Source organism: Homo sapiens, chromosome 2, assembly GCF_000001405.40.
Source record: "Homo sapiens chromosome 2, GRCh38.p14 Primary Assembly".
In the NCBI taxonomy this organism is placed as follows: domain Eukaryota; kingdom Metazoa; phylum Chordata; class Mammalia; order Primates; family Hominidae; genus Homo; species Homo sapiens.
In genome coordinates this window covers 182,768,178-182,776,956 of record NC_000002.12, presented here as the reverse complement: position 1 = coordinate 182,776,956, position 8,779 = coordinate 182,768,178, and the positions used below count along the sequence as shown (strand labels likewise).

Genomic DNA, 8,779 nt, shown 5'->3' with positions numbered 1-8,779 from the left:
AAAAAAGAAAAGAATATCCTAGTTCTTACCTGCTCACAGCAGATATTACTAACTATATAGGTTTACATAATTTCAAGCATATTGGGTATTCTCTTTAACTTAATTTCAGGTATGATATTTTAGATTATGACAATTTTTAAATTTCAAATATTTAATGAGATAAAAGTTACACCTTTCAAAATAAAATATCTTGAGAAAACTAATATAGCGAAACACTAGAAAAACATGTTTGTTCAGTGGAACCAAGAAAATACAGACTCATAACTCTTTCCTACCTTTCAGATTCGTAAAAAATATTCTTGAGGTAGGTTGTAAGGCTTTGTCTATTGGGGTCTGCAGTTTGAACTGGATTACAGTAGAACCTATTGTCTAATATGGTGCTATAAAGCCAGTCTTCTCTAGCCCTTTCCAGAGGCTGAGCTATTTTGTCCTCCTTTCGCCTCATAGGGAAAGAATCCGAGATACCTCATGTGATTGTATTAAATTCCATTTTAAAAGCACTACAACATTCATAGACTCTTTGTTCTGTTTTTAAGTATGATCTACAGTAACACCGATTTGAAAAAGGTAAAACTGAACTGCCTTCTGAAGAGTAACAGGAAAAAGGTTGTGCTGCTTCTTGACAGATTAAAGATTCAAAGAGGGGCCAACACAAATATGGGTTTCAATACATTCTGATTACACCAAGAACAAAAGAAAATTTGCTATTCAAAACGTGTTATGAGGCTCCAGTATATTTATTCCTAACAATTCAATGCTTTATTTACATTTGAACAAAATTTAAATAATTTATGGCCACAGTCACTATTTTTTTTTTAATGGCTTTGTTGAGATATATTTCACATACCATAAAATTCCCACATTTAAAGGAGTTTAGTGGTTTTTGGTATATTCAGAGTTGTCCAACTGTCATTACAATCTAATTTTAAAACATTTTTCCATATTCCCAAAATAAACTCCTTACTACCCATTAGCAGTTACCCCATTTTTGCTCTTTTCTATCCCACTCCACTTCGGCCCCAGGCAACCATTAACCTACGTTCTGTCCCTATGGATTATTCTAGATATTTAACATCAATAGTATTATATAATATTTGGCCTTTGTGACTGGCTTCATTCACTAAACATTTTCCAGAGTTCAAACATGTTGTAGCATAGGTCAGTACTTCATTCCTTTTATGGCTGAAAATATTCTATTCAATGGATACACCACATTTCATTTATCTGTCAGTTGACAGACATTTCTTTTTTTTGCTATTATGAATGATACAGCTATAAATATTTGTATACATGTTTTTGCATGGACCACAGTCACTATTTTTTGTTAAGTGGTTTTACTTGTCCAAATTTTTAAAAGCATTTCAGTGTCTAGGCTACATTTTGATTGTCCTATTTCCCAAAGTAGAATTTTCAGCTATCTTACTATTTTTTGATGCCTCATTTTGTTGTCTCTGGATGCATGTAATGTATAGGAAAAATAGATTTTGCTAACTTTTGCCAACTTTTGCCAAAGTCAACTCTAGGCTTAGTCCATACCTTATTCCTCTTGCCTTGATTTCGGAGAGTTTCCAATTTTTCACTTATTAAGGCAGCGATTGCTTTTGCATCTCTGGTATTTATCTGCTCTTCTTGAAAATTTCTCTAAAATTAAAAACACTTGTTATCTTTTAAGTATTTAATAAAAACATAACATTTCCACCTAAGAAACTTGATTAAATATGCTTTCAAGTTCTTTTGTTCCAAAACTTGAAGTGTTTGAAATTCAAATTTATTCTCTTCAAGGAAATAATGCTGCAAAAGCAGTTAACCCATAATGTACCTAAAATAAATACTAATAATAGTGTCACGGAAACATGAAACAATTGTTAAAAAAAAAAAAAAAAAAGCATCACTGACTCCAAAAGCCTCAAAACATCGAAACTGTGCAAGAACAGATGTTCCTGGATAAAGTTTGAGAGGGCATTCCAAGATGGCTGAGTAGGAATAGCTCCAGTCTGCAGCTCCTAGTGTGATCAACACAGAAGACAGGTGATTTCTGCACTTCCAACTGAGGTATCTGGTTCTTCTCATTGGGACTGGTTGGACAGTGGGTGCAGCCCACAGAGGGCGAGAAGACGCCAGGGCGGGGATTGGGGGGGGTGTTGTCTCACCCGGGAAGTGCAAAGGGTTAGGGGACTTCCCTTTCCTAGCCAAGGGAAACCGTGACAGACTACCTGAAAAAACGGGACACTCTCGCCCAAATACTGCACTTTTCCCAAGGTCTTAGCAATCTGCAGACAAGGAGATTCTCTCCTGGGCCTGGCTCAGAGGGTCCCACACCCATGGAGCCTTGCTCACTGCTAGTGCAGCAGTCTAAGATTGAACTGTGAGGTGGTAGCCTGGCTGGGGGAGGGGTGTCTGCCATTGTGGAGGCTTGAGAAGGTAAACAAAGTGGAAAGGGATGCTCAAACTGGGTGGAGCCCACCACAGCTCAACAAGGCCTTCAGCCTCTAGAATCCACCTCTGTTGGCAGGGCATAGCTGAACAAAAGGCAGCAGACAACTTCTGCAGACTTAAACGTTCCTGTCTGACAGCTCTGAAGACAGTGGTGGTTCTCCCAGAACGGCATTTGAGCTCTGAGAAGGGACAGACTGCCTCTTCAAGTGAGTCCCTGATCCCCATGTAGCCCGACTGGGAGACACCTTCCAGTAGGGGCCGACAGACACCTCATATAGGCGGCTGCCCTTCTGGGACAAAGCTTCCAGAGGAAGCATCAGGCAGCAATATTTGCTGTTCTGCAATATTTGCTGTTCTGCAGCCTCTGCTGGTGATACCCAGGCAAACAGGGTCTGGAGTGGACCTCCAGCAAACTCCAACAGACCTGCAGCTGAGGGACCTGTCAGAAGGAAAACTAACAAACAGAAAGGAATAGCATCAGCATCAACAAAAAGGTCATCTACACCAAAACCCCATCTGTAGGTCACCAACATCAAAGACCAAAGATAGATAAAACCACAAAGATGGGGAGAAACCAGAGCAGAAAAGCTAAAAATTCTAAAAATCAGAGCGCCTCTTCTCCTCCAAAGGATTGCAGCTCCTCGCCAGCAATGGAACAAAGCTGGACGGAGAATGACTTTGATGAGTTGACAGAAGTAGACTTCAGAAGGTCGGTAATAACAAACTTCTCTGAGCTAAAGAAGGATGTTTGAACCCATTGCAAGGAAGCTAAAAACCTTGAAAAAAGATTAGACGAATGGCTAACTAGAATAAACAGTGTAGAGAAGACCTTAAAGGACCTGATGGAGTTGAAAACCATGGCACAAGAACTTGGTGACACATGCACAAGCTTCAATAGCCAATTTGATCAAGTGGAAGAAAGGGTATCAGTGATTGAAGATCAAATTAATGAAATAAAGCGAGAAGACAAAGTTAGAGAAAAAAAGAGTAAAAAGAAATGAACAAAACCTCCAAGAAATATGGGACTCTGTGGAAAGACCAAATCTGTTTGATTGGTGTACTTGAAAGTGATGGGGAGAATGGAACCAAGTTGGAAAACACTCTTCAGGATATTATCCAGAACTTCCTCAACCTATCAAGGCAGGCCAACATTCAAATTCAGGAAATACAGAGAACACCACAAAGATACTCCTCAAGACAAGCAACCCCAAGACACATAATTGTCAGATCCACCAAGGTTGATATGAAGGAAAAAATGTTAAGGGCAGGCAGAGAGAAAGGTCGAGTTACCCTCAAAGGGAAGCCCATCAGACTAACAGCAGATCTCTCGGCAGAAACCCTACAAGCCAGGAGATAGTGGGGGCCAATATTCAACATTCTTAAAAGAATTTTCAACCCAGAATTTCATATCCAGCCAAACTAAGCTTCATAAGTGAAGGAGAAATAAAATCCTTTACAGACAAGCAAATGCTGATTTTGTCACCACCAGGCCTTCCTTACAAGAGCTCCTGAAGGAAGCACTAAACTTGGGAAGAAACAACTGGAACCAGCCATTGCAAAAACATGCCAAATGGTAAAGACCATTGATGCTATGAAGAAACTACATCAATTAACAGGCAAAATAACCAGCTAACATCATAATGACAGGATCAAATTCACACATAACAATATTAACCTTAAATGTAAATGGGCTAAATGCCCCAATTAAAAGACACAGGCTGGCAAATTTGATAAAGAGTCAAGACCCATCAGTGTGCTGTATTCAGGAGACCCATCTCATGTGCAAAGATGCACACAGGCTCAAAATAAAGGGATGGAGGAAGATCTACCAAGCAAATGGAAACCAAAAAACAAAACAAAACAAAACAAAACAAAACACCATGGGTTGCAATCCTAGTCTCTGATAAAACAGATTTTAAACCAACAAAGATCAAAGAGACAAAGAAGGCTATTACATAATGGTAAAGAGATCAATTCCACAAGAAGAGCTAACGATCCTAAATATATATGGACCCAATACAGGAGCACCCAGATTCATAAAGTAAGTCCTTAGAAACCTACAAAGACACTTAGACTCCCACACAATAATAATGGGAGACTTTAACACCACACTGTTAATATTAGATCAATGAGACACAAGGTTAAGAAGGATATCCAGGACTTGCACTCAGCTCTGCAAAAAGCAGACCTAATAGACAACCACAGAACTCTCCACCCCAAATCAACAGAATATACATTCTTCTCAGAACTACACTGCACTTATTCTAAAATTGACAACATAATTGGAAGCAAAACACTCCTCAGCAAATGTAAAACAACAGAAATCACAACAAATTGTCTCTCAGACCACAGTGCAATCAAATTAGAACTCAGGATTAAGAAACTCACTCAAAACCACACAACTAGTGGAAACTGAACAACCTACTCCTGAATGACTACTGGGTAAATAACGAAATGAAGGCAGAAATAAAGATGTTCTTTGAAACCAATGGCAACAAAGACACAACATACCAGAATCTCTGGGACACAGCTAAAGCAGTGTTTAGAGGGAAATTTATAGCACTAAATGCCCACAGGAGAAATGAGGAAAGATCTAAAATTGACACCCTAACATCACAATTAAAAGAACTGGAGAAGCAAGAGCAAACAAATTCAAAAGCTAGCAGAAGACAAGAAATAACTAAGATCAGAGCAGAACTGAAAGAGAGACATAAAAAACCCTTCAAAAAATCAATGAATCTAGGAGCTGGTTTTTTGAAAAGATCAACAAAATTGATAGGCTGCTAACAAGACTAATAGGAAAAGAGAGAAGAATCAAATGGACGCAATAAAAAATGATAAAGGGGATATCACCACCAATCCCACAGAAATACAAACTACCATCAGAGAATACTATAAACACCTCTACACAAATAAACTAGAAAAGCTAGAAGAAATGGATAAATTCCTGGACACAAACACCCTCCCAAGACTAAACCAGGAAGAAGATGAATTTCTGAATAGACCAATAGCAGGCTCTGAAATTGAGGCAATAATTAATAGCCTATCAACCAAAAAAAGTCCAGGACCAGAAGGATTCACAGCTGAATTCTACCAGAGCTACAAAGAGGAGCTGGTACCATTCCTGCTGAAACTATTCCAATCAATAGAAACAGAGGGAATCCTCCCTAACTCATTTTATGAGGCCAACATCATCCTGATACCAAAGCCTGGCAGAGACACAACAAAAAAAGGGAATTTTAGACCAATATCCCTGATGAACATCGATGTGAAAATCCTAAATATTGATGTGAAAATCCTCAATAAAATACTGGCAAACTGAATCCAGCAGCACATCAAAAAGCTTATCCACCAAGATCAAGTCAGCTTCATCCCTGGGATGCAAGGCTGGTTCAACATATGCAAATCAATAAATGTAATCCTTCACATAAACAGAACCAAAGACAAAAACTACATGATTATCTCAATAGATGCAGAAAAGGCCTTTGACAAAATTCAACAGCCCTTCATGCTAAAAACTCAATAAACTAGGTACTGATGGAATGTATCTCAAAATAATAAGAGCTATTCATGACAAACCCACAGCCAATATTATACTGAATGGGCAAAGACTGGAAGCATTCCCTTTGAAAACCAGCACAATACAAGGACGCCCTCTCTCACCACTCCTATTCAACATAGTATTGGAAGTTCTGGCCAGGGCAATTAGGCAAGAAAAAGAAATAAAGGGTATTCAATTAGGAAATGAGGAAGTCAAATTGTCCCTGTATGCAGATGACATGATTGTTTATTTAGAAAACCCCATCATCTCAGCCCAAAATCTCCTTAAGCTGATAAGGAACTTCAGCAAAGTCTCAGGATACAAAATCAATGTGCAAAAATCACAAGCACTCCTATACACCATCAACAGAGAGCCAAATCATGAGTGAACTCCCATTTACAATTGCTACAAAGAGAATAAAATACCTAGGAATCCAACTTACAAGGGATGTGAAGGACCTCTTCAAGGAGAACTACAAACCACTACTCAAGGAAATAAAAGAGGACACAAACAAATGGAAGAATATTCCATGCTAATGGATAGGAAGAATCAATAATGTGAAAATGGCCATACTGCCCAAAGTAATTTATAGATTCAATTCCATCCCCATCAAGCTACCAATGACTTTCCTTACAGAATTGAAAAAAACTACTTTAAATTTCATATGGAACCAAAAAAGAGCCCGTATTGCCAAGACAATCCTAAGCAAAAAGAACAAAGGTGGAGGCATCACAGTACCTTTCTTCAAACTATACTACAAGGCTACAGTAACCAAAACAGCATGGTACTGGTACCAAAACAGATATATAGACCAATGGAACAGAACAGAGCCCTCAGAAATAACACCACACATCTACAACCATCTGATCTTTGACAAACCTGACAAAAACAAGCAATGGGGATACCCTATTTAATAAATGGTGCTGAGAAAACTGGCTAGCCATATGTAGAAAGGTGAAACTGGATCCCTTCCTTACACCTTATACAAAAATTAATTCAAGATGGATTAAAGACCTAAACGTAAGATCTAAAACCATAAAAACCCTAGAAGAAAACCTAGGCAATACCATTCAGGACATAGGCATGGGCAAGGACTTCATGACGAAAACACCAAAAGCAATGGCAACAAAAGCCAAAATAGACAAATGGGATCTAATTAAACTAAAGAGCTTCTGCACAGCAAAAGAAACTATCATCAGAGTGAAAGGCAACCTACAGAATGGGAGAAAATGTTGGCAATCTACCCATCTGACAAAGGGCTAATATCCAGAATCTACAAAGAACTCAAACAAATTTACAATAAAAAAAAACCCATCAAAAAGTGGGCAAAGGATATGAACAGACACTTCTCAAAAGAAGACATCTATGCAGCCAACAGATGCATGAAAAAATGCTCATCATCACTGGTCATCAAAGAAATGCAAATCAAAACCACAATGAGATACCATCTCACACCAGTTAGAATGGCGATCATTAAAAAGTCAGGAAACAACAGATGCTGGAGAGGATGTGGAGAAACAGGAACACTTTTACACTGTTGGTGGGAGTGTTAATTAGTTCAACCATTGTGTAAGACAGTGTGGCGATTCCTCAAGGATCTAGAATTAGAATTACCATTTTACCCAGCAATCCCACTACTGGGTATAGACCCAGAGGATTATAAATCATGCTACTATAAAGACACATGCACACATATGTTTACTGCAGCACTATTCACAATAGCAAAGACCTGGAACCACCGCAAAAGTACATCAATGATAGACTGGATTAAGAAAATGTGGCACATATACACCATGGAATACTATGCAGCCATAAAAAAGGATGCGTTCATGTCCTTTGCAGGGACATGAATGTAGCTGGAAACCATCATTCTCAGCAAACTATCACAAGGACAGAAAACCAAACATCTCATGTTCTCACTCACAGGTGGGAATTGAACAATGAGATCACTTGGACACAGTGGGGGGAACATCACATACTGGGGCCTGTTGGGGAGTTCAGGGCTGGGGGAGGGATAGCATTAGGAGAAATACCTAATGTAAATGATGAGTTGATGGGTGCAGCAAACCAACACGACACATGTATACCTATGTATCAAACCTGCACATTGTGCGCATGTACACTAGAACTTAGAGTATAATTAAAACAAACAAACAAAAAGATGTTCCCAGAGGACCGAACTCATTCCACTCTAATACAATCATTAGCACTGCCCAACCATGACCAACAACAGTAATGGAAAGCAACATGTATCTCCTAGTTTTCATCTGCGCACAGCAGGAAGGTGGCTGAAAAGCAGGGGAAGGAACAGGTCAGCATATCCTGACCTGCTTATTTGGATCTGGGGCCACCTGTTGTCTTAATCTTGGTGTGAACTCTAATCCCCAACTATGTGCTAGAATTTTGTTTTGTGTGTAACTGCCCACCTGGTTTGTGTTTCTCCTTACTCCAACCATTATTCTGCTTTGGCCTTCCTGTCTGGCCTCAATGGCTGAATGCTACCCTTGTCTTTCAATTTGGACAGGGATGTTTGGTTCCTAACTTTGTCCCCTGGACTCCTCTGGACACATGGCAACATCTTTTCAAACAGCTCTGTCTATGGTATGGTTAACTCTTGTAACTGCTCATTAAATTGATACTTCTCTGATATTATCTGAAGAAGATCCCTATTTATGTCACCCATCTCTCAGCTATTCTGAAAACTGAGAAATAGAGCTGTTGATTCAAAGAAATGAAGACTCAGGCTCTGATATAAGCTGCCTCTCACCTCCATCAAGTTCTGCTTGCTCTAGATTGTTCTTA

General features: G+C 39.0%; 1 protein-coding gene across 5 annotated transcripts in view; it reads right to left on the bottom strand.

Annotated features, from left to right (window-relative positions):
• Window positions 1-8,779, bottom strand: part of DNAJC10 (DnaJ heat shock protein family (Hsp40) member C10) — a 78,208-nt gene that overhangs the window by 17,508 nt on the left and 51,921 nt on the right. For all 5 annotated transcript variants that reach the window (NR_073366.2, NR_073365.2, NR_073367.2 and 2 more), the window contains one exon: window positions 1,537-1,641. Coding sequence is in view for 2 of the 5 variants with exons in the window: in NM_018981.4 (NP_061854.1) it covers window positions 1,537-1,641 (105 nt within the window). In the remaining 3 variants the exon portion in view is untranslated. The remainder of the gene's footprint in view (window positions 1-1,536; window positions 1,642-8,779) is intronic.